This window comes from Homo sapiens, chromosome 15 (genome assembly GCF_000001405.40).
Source record: "Homo sapiens chromosome 15, GRCh38.p14 Primary Assembly".
NCBI classification, from domain to species: Eukaryota; Metazoa; Chordata; class Mammalia; order Primates; family Hominidae; genus Homo; species Homo sapiens.
The window spans coordinates 60,050,430-60,069,114 of NC_000015.10; the positions used below are offsets into that span (position 1 = coordinate 60,050,430).

Sequence of the window (18,685 nt, forward strand, 5' to 3'; positions counted from 1 at the left end):
GGAAGTAACGTAATTATCTTGTATTTTCTCTCATTTATTTGATCTTCATTTTTAAAGTTTTTTTTGGCTTTAAGAAAGATTTTCTCAACTTTATCTTATGAGCTTTCTATTGAATTTTATTTATATACTATACTTTTAAGTTTCAAAAGGTATGTCATGGTTGGAATGTTTTTGTCGCCTCCAAAACTCATGTTGAAAATTAATTCTCAATGTAACAGTGTTGGGAGATGGGGCCAAATGGGCAGAGCACTCATGAATGGATTAATTACTCTACAAAAAGAGTAAAAAGAGCTTCTGAGAGTGAGTCACCTCTCTTCTGCTCTTCTGCTATTTGAGAAATGGCATTCTTCCCCTCTGGAGGATGAAGACTCCAAGGTACCATCTTGGAATTGGAGACCAGGCCCTCCCAAGACACCAAACCTGTTAGCACCTTGAGCTTGGACTTCCCAGCCACCAGAACTATGAGAGAATTTATTTCCATTCTTTAGTAAATTATTCAGTCTCATTATTCTATTATAGCAGCACAAACAACCAAAACAAGTGTTCCTTGTTCTTTATTTTTTTTTCACAAAACTTCTTATTTCATGAATCCTTTTATATTTCAGAGGCTATTAATAATAGTTTCTTTTTTCTTTCTGAAGTCTGAAGTTTCATCTTCCTGCTTTGACTCTACTTCTTCCAAGTTTTGTTGTTTTCTGTTAGTTGTTTTGATTTCAGTCATTCATGTTATAGGCTTCCTTAGGTGTTTACTAGTTCATAGCTGTTTATTCATATTTAAAAATGGGATTTAAAAAAAAAACTGATTGGAAAATTTGTCCAAATGGGTGAGACCTGCTGACTGTGGTATTCTGACTGAGTCATTCATGTGGGGCAACCTTGATGCCAGTATCTTTTTTTTTTTTTTTTTTTTTGAGACAGAGTCTTGCTCTACTCACTCAGGCTGAAGTGCAGTGGTGTGATCTCAGCTCACTGCAACCTCTGTGTCCCGGGTTCAAGCGATTCTCCTGCCTTAGCCTCCCAAGTAGCTGGGATTATAGGCATGTGCTACCACGCCTGGCTAATTTTTGTATTTTTAGTAGAGACGGGGTTTTGCGATGTTGTCCAGGCTGGTCTTGAACTCCTGGCCTCAAGTGATCTGCCCACCTCAGCCTCCCAAAGTGCTGGAATTACAGGCATGAGCTACTGCACCAGGCCCAATGCCAGTATCTTTAGGACTTTTTTCTCTTAGATTAGTTGGATTTTTTTTTTTTGTCACAATTCATTTTTATTGATAGAAAATAAACACTTATTCCAGTTTCAAAGTTGTTATACTTGAAGTTGCTATTTTAAAAATATGAATTTTAGGGCTGGGCGCGGTGGCTCACGCCTGTAATTCCGCCGCTTTGGGAGGCCAAGGAGGGCGGATCACAAGGTCAGGAGATCGAGACCATCCAGACCAACATGGTGAAACCCCGTCTCTACTAAAAATACATAAAAAAATTAGCCGGGCGTGATGGTGGGCGCCTGTAGTCCTAGCTACTCGGGAGGCTGAGACAGGAGAATGGCGTGAACCTGGGAGGCGGAGCTTGCAGTGAGCCGAGATCGCACCACCGCACTCCAGCCTGGGCGACAGAGCGAGACTCCGTCTCAAAAAAAAAAAAAAAGAATTTTAAATAATCACTTAATAATCCTGCTTTCACTAAGACAGTAAAATGTGGCTTTAAAAAAAAGTATTCAGCACCATTTGCTTATAGATCTTTCAGAATTTGTTCTTAATGTTTCTGGAACTTTCCTGTCTGTAAAGTACAAGAATAAATGAGCTACATAAGAAAGCCTCTCTGGAACAGGCAATGGGAAGTTAAGCAGTCATCATAAAGGAATCAATGTACATTCTGTGTGGTGATTTGGACTACAAAACAGTCTCTTCCCTTCTATGGTAGCTCGAGAGAGACATGCTTCTAAGCACTGAGGTATGACGAGTCTCAGATTGTTATTTGCTGTTAGAATTGGTCTTCCCAGCTAGTAATAGTAAATCTCTGGCACAGGTGCTATTGGTCCTTAATGTCCTGTGATTTTAGGAAATTCTGTAAATAGTTTTGATTTAGTTCAATTCATTCAGAAATGAAGCATGTTTAATTAAGTTCACTACTCTGACAGAGTAAGGATATGTTGGTTTAGCATCCTTATAAAATATATGTAATGTGTAGGTAAATCATGGTCCCAAATCATACTTAGAACACTACTTTATTTAAACCAATATGTCTTTTAACAAAATGTTTATAATTAACAACAGCTGATGAAACTATATCCAAAGGTATAACAAAGGAGACTGAGCTCTGTGTTGCTTAAAGAACTTTTAAGCAGCCATTCAAGGAGAGGTAAAGAAACCCACTTCTCATTCTCATTGTAGAATTCCTATTGGGGCTGGACCAGAAATTAGCACTTCTAAATACTTCAGAAAAGTCCAAAGTGTTAAAAAGCCTTCTAGGCAAAAGAACGTCTTTCTGCATCAGTGAATAGCAGTGCTCATCAGAATTTCCTAATAACACAAAAACAAAGGCAAGTCTGTACATTTGATCAGATGTCAAAGAAATGGGAGGTAGACTATTATCTCAGCCTTAGTCAGAGCTCCTGCTGGCTTCTTCCTACATACTGTTCACCAATTTGAGTAAAGTGGACTTTGTGAGAGAATAGTGTTTGATGGCTAGGATGTCTTTTGGGCATTTCTTCCTAAGTGGAATACACAACATATAAGCGAGTAGGGGAAATAATAGAGGGAAGCTACTCTTTCCAGCTCAGAAGGAGTTGGTGATGCCAATATATGCATTAGAGAAGCCCATGGGATCCTCTAGCTGTGGATAGTGGCTAATACGGTCATCCAGAATTGACACTGTGGACTGCAGCAGCATTTTCCTGTACAGCTCCAAAAACTCTGGGTAGGGATTTACAGGATCCAATGGCCCATAGATAACAATGAATGGAGATAGTTTCAGAGGCAAGAGCTCCCACCTAGTGCTTTCTAAACTGCCTCCTCTGATTGATGTACTCTAAGAGACTGTCAGAGACGAATTCCTGTCATTATTGCGGACCCCTTTCCACATGTCCCACAGCTTATTTTCAGAGGGCTGAGTATATGGCCCAAAGACTGGCGTGAGACCTCGAGAGAATACAAAGAAGTTCATCAGCCGCGTGAGGATGGGTGACAGCACACCTCCATGTTTGAGTAGCTTTTGAAGAAGGAGTAGACAGTGAGTCTCAGAAAAGATATCTCCAGTTGACAGACAGATGCCACAAAAGCGCTTCCAGGATGCTGGCCTGCTCAAATATGGAATAGTGATATGGTCTCAGTTTGTTACTGAAGCCAAAGCCTAAGAAATCAAGGACAATCACTCAATGAAATCTCAAGGTCAGACTTTCCCACATCTTGTACCAATCATAGCTGGATGTTGGAAAGCCATGTAAAAGAACAACTATCTCTGGACTTCCAACCACATCCACAGAGTCTTGGTAGAAGATAGGCCATCCCTTATAAGTGAAAAACTTGCCTGAAGACTGCCATGAGTGAAGGGCAAGGGAGAGCTGAGGGGGTGGGATGTGCAGGTATGTGGCAAGCAGGGGCACTTTCAACAGACCCACCTTGACCCACCATCCCCTCATCCTGATTCAGGTTAAGACCTGGGCTGCAGGACTTCATGTTTGGGGAAATCAGTTGTGCATGCTGGTTAGTTGGATTTCTTAGTGTAGAGTCTTCTAATCTCCTGTCTAGAGGATCTAAAGCTGACTGCCAGCATTCTAGAAACAAAGCAAGTGAAAGGGTTGAAGAGGGAGAGGAGGGGTTTAAAAATTCAGCATGTACATTTTCACTAAATCTCTATCCTCAATTGTCCTAATGTCTCACAGCCCTCAGTCCTCTTACTAGAGAGAACAAACCTCAAAAATTCTGCTTAGGTGATACTAAGGCTATCATTCTAGTAAATGGAATTGGTAAGGAGATTCAAAATCTAACTGCTTTTTTTAAGTCTTTCTGTTTTTATCCTTTCTTCACCCCACTTCCAGAGGTATCCAATGTCATTAACTTCTGAGCCCTTTGACATTTCCATGCTACAAGTTTCTTCCTGGATTTTTCCACTGCTGGCATAAGATTCAACTTTTTCAAGTCTGCTGAATCAGTCATTGTCTTGTCTGGATTCCTCAAAAGCAGATCCTGAGACAAAGGCTGATGCGCAAAATGTTTATGTGTGGGTATGATCCTGAAACTTAGGAATGGGGGTGAGTCAAGAAAGGAGAAAGATAGAAGAATGCATTATACTGTTGGCCACAGCTTTGGGGCACTTGTATGTGAGTTGTCAACCAGGTTCCTCCAGGCATCCCGCCACTTGACATCAAAGAAGCCTAAGAGAGGCATTGTCAGTTTAGATTTCTATGAAGGTGTTTGAAGCATGCTGAAAACTGGCCTCTACAGTTATGGCTGGGACAAGAAGTGAGACTTAGAGGATTTGTTGGATTTGTGCTGAATCTACCATCAATCTATAGATTAGGTTAGGGTGAATGAGCATCTAAACAGTACTGAGTTGTGCAAAGCATTAACAAGGTGTGGGTGTGTGTGTATATATACATCTTTATTATTTAGGTCTTTTTTATTTCTCTTGGCAACATTCAGTATGTTTTGCACTTCTACAGGTATTGCGCTTCTATTGACCCACTTTTCCTTTGCCATGTCCAGTTTGCTGTTAAACACATTAAATAAATTCTTTGCTTCCAATATCAATTTTTTTATTTGTAAGATTTTCATTTGGTTCTTTTTAATAGTTTTTGGCTGTCTGCTTACATTCCCTATCTATTCATACATGTTTTTCACTAGACACTTTAACATATTTTTTTCTACTTATTTTAAAGTCCATGTCTGATAATTCCAACATTAAAATCATCTCTGGGTTGGCTTCTACTGACCTCTTTTAACATAAGTCATACCTTCTTACTTCTTCACATATCTCTTTAATTTTATGCTAGTAATTGTATATTAAAGAACAGTAGCTTAAAAAGTGCTAACATCAGCCAGGTGTGGTAGCTTGCACCTATAATCCTAACACTTTGGGAGGCTGAGGTGGGAGGACCATTTGAGCCCAGGAGTTCAAGACCAGCCTGGGCAACATAGTGAGACCCAATCTCTGTGAAAGAAAAAAAAGAAAATTTTAAGTGCTAATATTTACCTCGAGAAAAGGGCACACCTCTTTTGGGTCGGTCCATGAGTGTGGCAGGCTGAGTCAATTTAATCTGTAGTTGGACTTGGTTGCAGCTTTAGCTAGATTCACTCACCTTGGCTGCAAATATTTTGAGGAAGGGATTAGGACTTTCCCTCAAACTGGGCTTGGGATATGAGCACTGGAGAGACTCTAAAGATCTCTTTGTGCTTTATTGCCCAGCCCTCATGTTTTAGCTATGGGAGATTTGTATCAGCTTTAAGCCAGGCTGCCAACCTTTTGGGTTGCTGGACAACTCTCTTTGCTCTCCAGTTCAACTTCCAGCCTTTTGCTTCTCAGAAGACTCCTTTCTGCCTTTCTTTTCTGTCCCCAGGTATTGGAGAGCCTCTGCAGTGCATTCACAGTGGCTCAGATGGATATCATTCAGCTGTCTTGTCCTGCCCAAGGCTGGGAAAATTTGAAATGATGTACGAAAGATATCCAATATATTTACCACTGCCCTTCTGCTTTTAAGCCTTCAAAACTTTGCTACAATCATCTCCTTTCCTATATGCATTGTCCTTGTGGTTTCTTCTTCTTCTTCTCTTTTTTTTTTTTCTTTCAAACAAGGTCTCGCTCTGTCATCCAGGCTGGCATGCAGTGGTGCAATCTTGGCTCACCACAACCTCCACCCGCCCGGTTCAGGTGATTCTCCTGCCTCAGCCTCCCGAGTAGCTGACATCACAGGCGTGTGCCACCACACCTGGCTAATTTTTGTGTTTTTAGTAGAGACGGGGTTTCGCCATGTTGGCCAGGCTGGTTTATTCTTCTTAAACATGTATTTAATACCATAAATTAAACATATATTTAATAACTATTTTTGGAGGATACAGTTATATATGTGTGTTCAATTTATTCCCATTAATCCAACATCTTTCTATTTGCTGAGTCTTTTGTCGTTGTTCTTGTTAAGCCTTTGCATATTTACTTATAATTATGATGTATATTACTCCAAAACATCAGCCTCACTTCTATACTCTAATTCTTATCAATTCAGGTCCACAGAAATAAACCCAAGCCTTCAAAGTAATTCAGTCAATATATAACCTTTATAGCTATTTTAAGGGGTTTAGTTACCAAGGTGCTTAACCTTTAAAAAAAAAATGCCCTGTTGGATGGAGGAATGCATGCCTTTATTTAAGGTCCCACTCATTTCCTCACGCAACAAATTTCTATTTTCCACCTTCATTCTACCCCAACTTTAAAACAGAAACACAGAAAAACCAGCTATGATTGAGAGGAAACATGCACATTATCAACTATTTTTGCAAAAAAAAAAAAAAAAAAAACCAAACAAACAAAAAATCAGACTCTTTTCCTAAGCAAATGACAAGATCTAAGAGTGTTTTGCCAGAGTTCGGCGGTGCAATCACCAATCCCATATATTACAGCCAGAGACTGCTGGCAAACCCCATGAGCGGGTTAGGGGCAGTGACACTCAGAGGCTGACTCTGGACTTCTCAGCCTCTAACTGCAATTCCTAAAGTGGAAGACTCCTCTCTAACAAGCTCAGTCACTAAAAGTAGCCAATGCTCACAGTTCCTTCCACTCCTAGTGACTAGAACATCTCCACTGTCCCCCAAACTTACCAGCCTGTATTTAGACATCAGTCTCCTGATTCACTTATGTCATGTAATCTTCGAAACAATCTGCTTTTCCTCCGCTAGACACCACCATCCCCACAGTCCCCCACTTCACCCCATGCTAGCTCTGGACACCAGGCCCTTGCACATGTCAAATTACTGATGTGCATTTACCTTAGAAGTGGGAGTGACAGAACAACAGCACCAAGTGTCAATTTGTTAACGGAGACATGCTTGGTTGGCTCATTTTCCAAATGAAATTTGGTTCCACTTTAAAAGTCAAAGCTGTCATAAAAATGCCACAGACAATGAGGATTAATCTTACACTGTAGAAATTTTAGAAACTCTTCTTCAAAATTAGAATTAGGCTGTGTGCAGCTTAAAAAGGAAAAATAGGTCAAGGCACTTGCAAAAGGTTACCTATGAATGCATCCTCCCACGTTAAGTGCCTTTAACTCAATGTCCCTCGTTCAATCTAGTCCAAAGCAGAAGTGCCCATGACTCACCATATTAAGTGCAGCGTTTCTGATGTGTCCATCATTTTTGTGTCACTTCAGTGGAAGCCTTCAATTCCAATTTTACACTCTCAGTCCCCTCTGTATGGGAAGGCTGGTTGCAACAGACTACACCACTGCCTCTGCTCCCTCAAAATGCACCTCCTAAACCATGCTCCAAAGAAAACCTCTGTTACACTTTCTGAATCTTTAAAGAAATGATTCCACACCAATGTAGCAATAGATATTAAAGGACTCACCAGTCCCCTTTCAAGAGGATGAATATTACCCTCCGGGACTTGCCAGAGATTTGATGCAACAAGCAGTGGTAGGCTGGAGGAAAAAGATATGTTTCCTTTTTTTTTTTTTTCCTAAGCAAACCTTTTTGTGACACCCTCATATCTCATGGCCATCTTGTCAACCCAAACAACAGCTGGTCGTTTACATCTTTCATTTTATGCAGATTTATTGCATGCCCACTGAGTGTTGATGTGCTCAGTGCTGGGGATCCTGAGACCAATAAGACACATTATTTGACTGCTGGAACTTACCATCTAGTTGGGAAAGACATGAAGAAATTTAGGATGACACAAGGGACCTACGTATTTAGAATAATAGACAGACTGAAGAGGTGAGTGTGTGAAGAGAGGCTTCAGCATTCTGCTGCTAAATCTTTAAGAGCACAACCTTCAGAACGAGAGAAAAAGCTCTGATTTGTAGTTGCCAATTTCTGTGGTGTAAATATTCCCATGGCTGCTGATTCCAATGTGCTAACATGTCATCACTGAACAAGGAGTTGAGGAGAGATGCTAACCCTTTGCTCTTCCAAGCACATATAAACTGGCTTTAGCACTCCACAGAGGTTTTTCTGGAGATGACTCTGACTTCAGTCTTAAAAAATAAAAAGGTAGGCCGGGCACAGTGGCTTATGCCTGTAATCCCAGCATGTTGGGAGGCTGAGGCGGGCGGATCACCTGAGGTCAGGAGTTTGAGACCAGCCTGGTCAACATGGTGAAACCCTGTCTCTACTGAAAATGCAAAAATTAGCTGGGCATGGTGGTGGGCGCCTGTAATCCCAGCTACTCGGGAGGCTGAGGCAGGAGAATTGCTTGAATCCAGGAGACGGAGTTTGCAGTGAGCCAAGATCGTGCCATTGCACTCCAGCCTGGGCAACAGAGCAAGACTGTGTCTCAAAAATAAATAAATAATAAATAAATAAGAAGGTATTAATTGTCTGAGGTGGGGTGTACACAGAAGTGTAAAGAGCTGTCAAATTGGAGCAAAAACACTGGACAAAAGCATGCAGATGAGAAAAGTATGATAAGAGTGTAATTTGTGGGGCTAAAAGCAAATGAATATAGTAGGAGCCTATGTCGTATAATCTTCCAGGTAGGAAATGTCAGGAGACAAGATTGCAGAGCTGATATGGTAAATTGCATTTATGGCTTCAATTCCTTATCCTTCTCTGAATCTATATCCTTTGCCATGGAATTTGACTAAGCCCTCCTTCTCTGGCTCTGGGCTTGGCTATGGGACTTGCTTTGACCAACAGAATAAGGCAGAAGTGATAATATGCCTGATCCAAACCTAGATCTCCAGAGGACTTGTATACTTCCCTTTTCCCCACTTGTGTTTCTTCCATTGCCAGGTAAAGGACATGCCTGGGCTAGCCCACAACTTCCAGGAGAAGGATGTGAAACATGTGAAGCAGAGTTGCCCCCGCTAAGATGGTCCAGCCAAGCCCAGATTAGAGCCTCCAGCTGACATAGGGACACTTGAGCTATAATAATTAATGGTTGTTGGTTTTAGCTATGATTTTTAAGGTAGTTTGTTAACACAGCAGTAAGTAACCAATACAATTGGGCTGGGGCTAGGATGTGGAAAGCCTTTTATAACTTGCTGTTGACCTAGGACTTCATCCTACGGGCAAGGAATCCACGAAGCAGCATCCAGCAGGGTATTGATACAGCCAAACTTGCAGCAAGATGGAGAATAAATTGATGGTAAGTAGCTTGCAGGAGGCCTGAGCATATGATAAAACACAGTTAAAAGAGTATAACTCTTTGATCTAGCTTTTATAAACTCAGGCAGAGCATAAGAATTCCAGACAGATTAAGAGAAAAAAGCCCTGGGCTGAGAGAGGCAGGAAATCAGGGATCACGAGAGAAGCAAAATTAATAAGAAGGATGAATAGATGTATAGACATAGATAGATAGATAGATAGATAGATAGATAGATAGATAGATAGATAGATATAGATAGATAGAGAGAGAGAGAGAGAGAGAGAGATTTATTACGGGAATTAGCCCATGTGATGATGAAGGCTGAGAAGTCCCACAACATGCTATCTGCAAGCTGGAGAACCAGGGAAGGTAGTGAGGCAATTCAGTCTGAGTTCTAAGGCCTCACAATTTGGGGGGCTGCCAGTCTAATTTCTGGAGTCTGAAGGCCTGAGAACCTTGAGCCCTGGAGGGCAGGAGAAGAGGGATGCTCCAGCTCTAGAAGAGAGAAAGGGAATTCACCCTCCCTCAGCCTTTTTGTTCCATCTGGGCCCTCAACAGATTGGATGGTGCCTACCCACACTGGTGAGGGTGATCTTCTTTACACAGTCCACTGATTCAAGTGCTGATCTCTTCCAGAAACACCCGCACAGACACATCCAGAAATAATGTTACCAACTATCTAGCATCCATTAACCTGGTCAAGTTGACACATAAAGTTAACCTTGACTGCAGGAGACTGGGTTACAATTCTTTCTTTGCCACTAACACTTAATGGCTGTAAGTATTACGACACTGGCTCAAAGGGCTAAGTAAATTTAGTGAGGATTAGCAGTGAGGAGGAAGGTGGTGCAGGGGAAAGTGGAAAGAGGACAAATGAGAAAGGCCTATAAGGATCCTGGTTAGAGGGAAGGAGTTCCATTGAGAAATGAAACCACCAGACAAATGAATGTGACAGGTCAATTTAAACACCAGAAACTGGTGTGTGCCCTATAATTCGGGATGGCATTAATGCATCTGAAGAGACACCTGTTCCCTGGGTGTGGGGAGCACTGGACTCTCAGGGGTACAGTGTAGCCACACAGAAATATAAGGATAAATCCTGCTCCTGACAGAGGCAGGGTCACAGAAACTAGGGTGATTTCTTGGAGTTTTATAAAGTTATTGGAGATCAAGCTTAAATACCTTTATAAAAACAAAGTGACATTCTATTATTTACATGATTACTTGGAAATTTCTTTATTGCTTTATTGATCTGCAGATACTGTTAAGTCATATGTGGCTATTTTTGGTTTGCAATAGAAAATTTTGAAATATTTAATCTCTAAAGAAAAAGTTCTCTCAACAACAAAACAAGTGAAGCTCAACTGACAATTTATCATGGGAGCATTCCAATCCCCTGTCTATTTTCTCTCTCCTTCATTTATCCTCACCTTTCCTTGAGTGCCTCCCCTGATCTCACTCCTGAAGTATCTTACTCTCCAATAGCTGTCAGAGTCCTCCATAATATGCACCTCAGATAGAAGCATTTGGCATTAGACAGGTGACGTGACATTAAGGACCAAAAACTGAAACTGCTTTTGCACAAATTGTAACAGGGAGAGAAACCTAACCTGATTCCATCTTGCTTGAGTCAAGTTGACACATAAAATCAACCTTCATAGCAGGAGACTGGGTTCTAATTCTGTCTCACAAGCTAACTGCCTTTGTTTACTTTAAAACAAAATAGCAACAGTCCCTTCCCGGAACTAACCCCCTCCTTGCTCAGGGACTAAGACTGCCTTTGTAAGACCAGTGAAAGTTCATGAGGTTAGGATTATGGGAGGGGCCTGAATTTTGTTAAAATGTAGGTGTAGTTGAATGACAACTATCCATTGTTCTGGAGGTCATAAGATTTGTAACTTTCCTAATTGCTCTTACAGATAACATCATTATTGCCAAAACCTAAGATTGGATGCAAGATATTTTTGGACCTTTGCATTCTGCCTACCAACTGACTCCACCCAGACCCGTGGCTCATACCAAGGAACTGACTCCCACCCAGAAACTGACTGAGCACGTGAAGACAGTTTGGACCCTCCTATGATTTCATCCCCAACCAATCACCAGCACCCATTTCCTAGCCCCCTGCCTGCCAAATTATCCTTTAAACCCTAGCCTACAAGCTTTTGAGGAGGTGGATTTGAGCAACATCTCCCATTCTTCCACTTGGCTGGTCTGGTGACTATTAAACTGTTTCTCTACTGCAACACTGCTATCTCAGTGAATTGGCTTTATCTGTGCAGTGGGCAAGAAGAACTCTTTTAGGTGATTACAAAACTACCCAAGGCTCAAAGGACTGAAATCTTAATGGTGGAATTTCAGACAGTATGACAGACAGTGGGAGAATCAATTCTAGCATCCTACTACCACTATGTTGGCTCCCTGTTTACCTGCATGGCAGATCAACTTTACTCTCTCTTAATCCAAGAGAAAGACTCCAACTCATTCACGACATATAAAATGTGCATGTATCTATGCAAGCATTTTATTGTTTCCATAGATCTGCTGTTTTTTAGCTGTCTTAACTAGCCAGTCACTATACTTGCTGGGAAGATGGTGGAAAACCTTTGTTAGACTTGCTTTTTCAATTTCAGTGACACAAAACTGTCTTCCTGCCCTTCATCCTCTGGCACATTTGCCAGAAGGTGGCAATTATAGCCACTTTCCCTAATCTCACTACTGCTCACCCATAGTATTTGGAACCTTTGACCAGGATATAAAGTTCTAGACCAGTTTCACCTCTTTCCCCAAAAGAAAGAATATTTTTCAAAATGAAGTATTTCCCCCTATAAACAGTATATATGTTTATTAAAAACATAAAGACAGTATAGGAAAGTATAAAATCTATAATCTCACTGTACCACTTCCATACATTGATTGCTAATATTTTGAGATATGATTTTCCATGTTTTTTCAAAAGTACAATATTTATCTATTGCCATGTAACAAATTACACCAAAACTTAGTGGCTCAAACAATAAATATTTATTATTTCACACAGCTTCTGTGTGTCAGGAATTTGGGAGTGGCTTACCTGGGTGGTTCTTACTCAGGGCTTCTCATGCAGTTACAGTCAAGATGTCATCGGAAGGCTTCACTGGGGCTAGAGGATTTGCTTCCAACATGGTGCACTCTAGCTTGGTGCTGGTTGTTGGCAGGAGGCCTCAGTTCCTTGACACATGGACCTTTCCACATAGTTGCTTGAGTCATGTTTACATGGCAGCTGGCTTTCCCCAGAAAGAGTGATTCAAGATAGCAATTCAGAGGCCAAAATGTTATGCATACTTTGCCTCAGAAGTCACACCCCATCATTTCTGCACATGCTGTTGGTTATACTGGTCAAACTATCCAATGGCAGGGGGCGGGGGGACGTGGGTAGTTGGGAGAAAAGGAGGCAAGGGTCACAGGAGGCCAACTTAGAGGCTGACCATCACACACATATACATCAAAAATTATATAATATTATGCATACTGTTGGTAACACGTTGTTTTCACTTACTAGTCCATCATTGTTCTGTCAGTCCTGTTTTACGTCATCATTTTTAATGGTTACATGATATTCTATTATATAGTATACTAAAATTTATTAAGTTCCATAATTTTGAACATTTAATTATTTCTAATCTTTTGTTTATAATGTATAGTACTGTGATGAGCATCCCCATATATTTATTCACACATGGCCCTTAAAATAAATTTAAAGGAAAGAAGTGTTGATACATAAGATAACTTATCCCATTTGTAAATCAACCCATAGAAACGACTGCATATTATTCCAAGATACTTGGCCTTTAAAATTATCATTTTTAAAAAGCTCAAAGTGGATTAAAAAAAAATTAGCTTCTATTAGAGGTTTCAAATTAATTTTAAAATGTTAACAAGAGCTTAAGGCACACTACCAAAACATGCAAAGGCGCTTGTTTTCTGTTTTATGGTGACAATTAATGAGCAACTTTTTGTTAACTATTTATTTGGAGATGTTGTTAGATCTAGTTTGAACCCCCGCTTTTTTTTCATTGCAAATGTATCTCTAAGAGGTAGATTTTTCCAATGCTTTGACTGTTTGCCATGACATTCTAATTCTTTACATGGTGATTGAGAATATCAAGATGTAGAAATGGATTATTAAAAGAAGCACTGTTCCAGGCTGTTGTCAGCTTCTTGTCTCACAGATCAGGTGGTAAGGCACTAAGAACCTTGATTTAGATAAATTTTGAATTTATTACAAACCTGATGAACTTATTTTTTGTCAATTCAAAAGTGTACAAAAGATCTCAAAACTTCAATCAAGTACATTCTCAAAGAGATTTTTGACGCATAAGCCCAGAAAGGAAAAACTGAAGTCTCTATCACACCTCTGCCATATTTATTCATCTAGTTAACATTTTGCCAAGTGGATTTAGGTCCACTTAAGAAACTGTAAATAAATGTTGATACATCATAACAGAAGTTATAACTCACATTCTAAGTAAACCACTGACTCTAATTTACTCACAATTTTGCAGTGGCCTCATTCCATGGAGAAAATTAGATTTTTACATATCATAGCAAATCACAAAGCCAAAATGTCAACTTCATCTATCAGGCAATTACTTGTAGTGTTTATTTTGGGGGGAATTTTCTACATATATTTGCTTAGAAAGCTGCACGGGTCCTCCAAAATAAATAAGAGCTATAATTCTTGCCAAAAAATCCACAGTTCCAGAGAGCTACTCATCAATTTCTAGCAGTATTAATGAGGAAAGACACTGAGACAGTCATTCATACTGTCTTTATGATAAGAGTAACCTACAGGGCAAATCAAGATTAAGGACAAGGGCAAGATAAATGGTTTGGAAGACTCTCTCTGTGTTTCTTAATCAATCATTTGAATCTGCATTAACCACCTGAAGTCCCCATGGAGCTCTAGAAGCTTCAGGGAGGAGTGAGAATTGGTACTGAAGACATCCCCAAAACATTTTTAAGGTGAGAATAGTCTCTTTGTAGATACAGCAGGATCTCATGTTCCCACACTGAGAGGAAGATTCATTTGGGGTTGGGTAATTCTTTGCTGTGGGGGTGTTCCTATGCACTGTGGGATGCCTAGCAGCATACCTGGTACTCTTCCCAGTTGTGACAACCAAAAATGTCTCTCTATATTGCCAAATATCTCCTGGGGAGCAAAATTGCCCCTAGGTGAAGACATCTGCCTTAATAGAAGGATGAACTTCTCTCTTATACACCTCACTTTTAATGGCCTCATGATGTATCTTTTTTTTTTTTTTTTTTTTTTTTTGAGATGGAGTCTCACTCTGTCCCCCCCAGGCTGGAATGCAGTGGCCCAATCTCGGCTCACTGAAAGCTCTGCCTCCCAGGTTCACATCATTCTCCTGCCTCAGCCTCGCGAGTAGCTGGGACTACAGGTGCCCGCCACCATGCCCGGCTAATTTTTTGTATTTTTAGTAGAGACTGGGTTTCACCGTGTTAGCCAGGATGGTCTTGGTCTCCTGACCTGGTGATCCACCGGCCTTGGCCTCCCAAAGTGCTGAAATTACAGTCGTGAGCCACTGCACCCGGCCGTATTATCTTTCAAATGGCATCAAGGCAGGGACCATCCCCCAGGTTGGAAAACATGACAGGGATCTACCTGAGAAATCTGGAACGCCTTGGTAGGATTTCCCCAGGATGTGTGTTTTTCACTTTGCTGCTACCAGGTTCCACAGGTAGTGGCTGATTTCCAGTCACCAGCTGACAGGATCCTGCCTAGGCAAGGACAGGGTAGGTTCATTTGGGTGGGTCCATCTCAATTAGCCACATAGCAATCATAAGCCTTTGCTCATTTTTCTTATGATCTGAGGCTTCATTTCAAAGAGGTAGATTTCAAAATGATAAATTAAAGGGAATAAAATAACCTTAAATAAAAAGTATTTCTGCCTTGCCAGTGTGCAAGAAATGGCTCATAGTTAGAATCTCCCAAGGTGGCCTCTGTACATGACCTTGGGCAAGAGACGTTAAAAAAAATGTTAGCAGGAGCAAAGATCAGTTTTCCTCTTAAACAACAGAAAATAATTAAAAAGAGACCAAGGGCTTATTAACTTTTCCTCCTGGCAATATGGATTTCTTTCTTATCTGCCCAAACTGCTCTCCTTCTGCCTTCTACAGGCCAGCACAGAAAAGATTCCTAACAATTCAGAAAAAAAAGGGGACTAAGCTATTAAAATGCAGCACTAAGCCTTGAAGTTTCTGTTGACCTAGAAGGTGGACGTAATTGATAACATTTCATAATCCGTTTCCTGTATATTTGACCCAATTGAGAAAAAACTCATTTTAAAAGAGGAAAGTAGATTCAACTGGATTTCGTTTGGAATTCTTGCATCTCTAGCCTTGATGTCACAGCTTGTTCTTTTCCTTTCCTCACTCTTGATACCCACCAGCTGCCACTGATAGCCCAGAGCCTCCAAAAGCCCCATCTGCGCCACTGTGAGCAGGAAATGAGACACGACCTTCCACAAACCATTCTGCAGAGCAGCAGACATCCTAAAGAGTTCAGGCTTCCCATCATCCCAAATGTAGCCCTCCTAACCGCCTGTTGACCGTGCAGGTTGCCTTTGGGAGGCTGACCAGTCACATCAGGGATGGGTAGAATTCCCTCTACCTGGTTCTAGAAATTTTCCTCTAGGCCCTGGCTCATTCTGTCTCTCTGCCAGATTCTCATTAGCCAAAGAAGAAGTAAAAACTTCCTTCCAGACTTCATCTTCTGATCCAGCCAGATGGTAGATAAATAAATAACAGAGCAAAGAGGAAAAACATACCTGCTTTTGCTTAATAAAATACTGATAGTATATGCTGTTGTCACAGGAAATATTCAGATGGCAACAGCAGACGAACAGGCACAATGTGATGGAAGAAGGCCTGGAAGGCAGGGCTTCCATTCTTAGCCTCTGATTTTCATTGCACAGAAGACTGGAGGGAGTTAGGAGGGCTTTGGGAGCTCAGGAGAAGTCAAGTAAACTTAAGGCATTAAACCCAAGTAAAAGTAGTTCCATCCTCTTGGATGACATTGGTTTGGTATTCTCTAGAGTGACTGCCTGGAAGCGAAATTCAAAATGTGGAAGTTTTGCTTGAATGGAGTCATAGAATCCTAACTCCTGCTGTGCAGATCCTTCTTACAAGAAATACCAAGCCATCCTCTCAGAAATTTCTGCTTGAGTTTGGTACCAGAAAAACATATATGTCTGTTATGAATTTGAATAGTTTCTATGTCAGGAAAAGAAAACCACCCGTGTGAAGAAAGGTTTCCTCTTTTGCCTGAGCTGCCAGGAAACATGAAGCCCAAATCAGTACCCAACTGTCAGAACACCATTGTCCCAGGTGTGGGGCAGAGGAGAGACAGGGGAGGGGTAGGAGGGCAGCCACTGGATGTGCTTCCCTTAGATAATCTCTGTTTTGATATTGTTCTTATTTGCATGAGACTTGTAAAAGTCTCAGATAATTTTGGAAGTATCTAGGACTCAAAATCCAACCTAAACAATAAATAACAACTTTGTAAACCCTTTAGAATTTTATTTACGTATATAGAAGCTCCCAGCTAGTCACAAGTCCTTTTCATTGATTCATCCAGGCAAGCCACCTAAAGTAATTTTGCTTGACAGTGTTGTGTCACTTTAGTGGTCAGGATTCTTCAGAGAAACACGATAGATAGAGAAATAGGTAGATAAAGTAGGTAGGTAGGTAGGTAGGTAGGTAGATAGATACATAGATAGACAGATAGATAGATAGATAGATAGATAGATAAATTTATTATAAGATATTGGCTCACACATTTAAGGAGGCTAAGTCTCACAATATGTCCACTGTAAGCTGAAGACCCAGAAAAACTGGTAGTATAGCTGTAAGGCCTGAGAGCTGGTAGGCCAATGATGTAGATTCCAGTCCAAGATGGAAGGCATGAAAACCAGGAGCTCTGTGTGCAGGAGAAGAGTGACATGCCAGCTCAAGAGTTTGACAGAGAAAGAGCAAATCTTCCCTTCCTACATTGTTTTGTTCTATCCAGAGCTTCAACAGATCGGATGAGGCCCACCCACACTGGGGAGGGCCATCTGCTTTACTCAGTCCACCAATCCAAATGCTAATCTCTTCTGGAAACCCCCTCACAGACATACCCAGAGAAAATGCTTAATGAGATGCCTGGGCATCCTGTGATCCAGTCGACTTGACACATAAAATTGCCTATCACAGCCACTCTAGTTCAAGTTACTGAAAACATTTATATTTTTATTTCTCTTTTTGCTTCTTTTCTCTACTTCCTTCAGTAAATATTATATGTGTCATATACCTACAGAGTGGCAGGTCTTGTGCTACCCATCAGAGAACAGACGTGAGCAGAATTAGATGGGGACTTAATCTGGGGAGCTTAGAGCAAAGATGGGAAAAGAAGAATAATCAAATAACCTCCCAAATGAAAGAGGAAAAGCACAATGCTAATACATGCTGCAAATAATGGATGTATGGTACCATCAGAGTACAAAATAGGGGGCTTTGTCATAGGGTAGACAATCAAGGAACGCTTCCCTGGGGAAATGATGACTGAGCTAAAGGATGACTCTTCTAAAGGAAGAGAAAAAGTTCGCTAATAATGAAAAAAAATTATACAGCATTTTCAGACCATAAAATATTCTAAATGCATTATCGTACTTAATCCTCACTCATAATTTAACTCATATTTATTCAGCCTTTATCACATGGCAGAGGAAGGGTGGCATTGAGATCTTCCTTTGAAAGAGAGAGACTGGCAGCATGACAGGGTAAGGGACCTAGCAGAGAATCAGAGTAATTAATAAGGACCGGAATTTTGATATTTCTACAAATGTCTTAGCGGCATTATGGCTAACACTATACTAATGTCACGGAAATATGAAGGAAACAGCCTCTCAGATGTTCATCAATTTCTGCCAGTTCTTTAGGTACTTTGGAGCCATGTTTACTCATGTACGTTCCATTATCAGGATCATTGAAGATTAATACTAGAAGAATCCTTTGAATCCCTTCATCTTACACATGGCGAGGAAACCAAATCACTACATCACTTTTTAATATGCTACAGACTAGGCACAGTGGCTCACTCCTATAATCCAGCACTCTGGGAGGCCGAGGTAAGAGGATTGCTTGAGGCTGGGAGCTCAAGACTAGCCTGGGCAACATAGTGAGACACTGTCTCAAAAAAAAAAAAAAAAAAAAAGAAAGAAATTAAAACAAACAAAAAAAAAGCACGCTACCATTCAGACTTGTCACTAAATCAGCTCTTTTTCCAAGTTTGTCCAAGTTAAGGACTTTTTATTGCACCATGGATCAAAGTTCAAACATCATCC

General features: G+C 40.7%; 1 pseudogene; it reads right to left on the reverse strand.

Moving 5' to 3' along the window:
- Positions 1 to 2,577: 2,577 nt before the first annotated feature.
- Positions 2,578 to 3,698, reverse strand: MESTP2 (mesoderm specific transcript pseudogene 2; annotated as a pseudogene).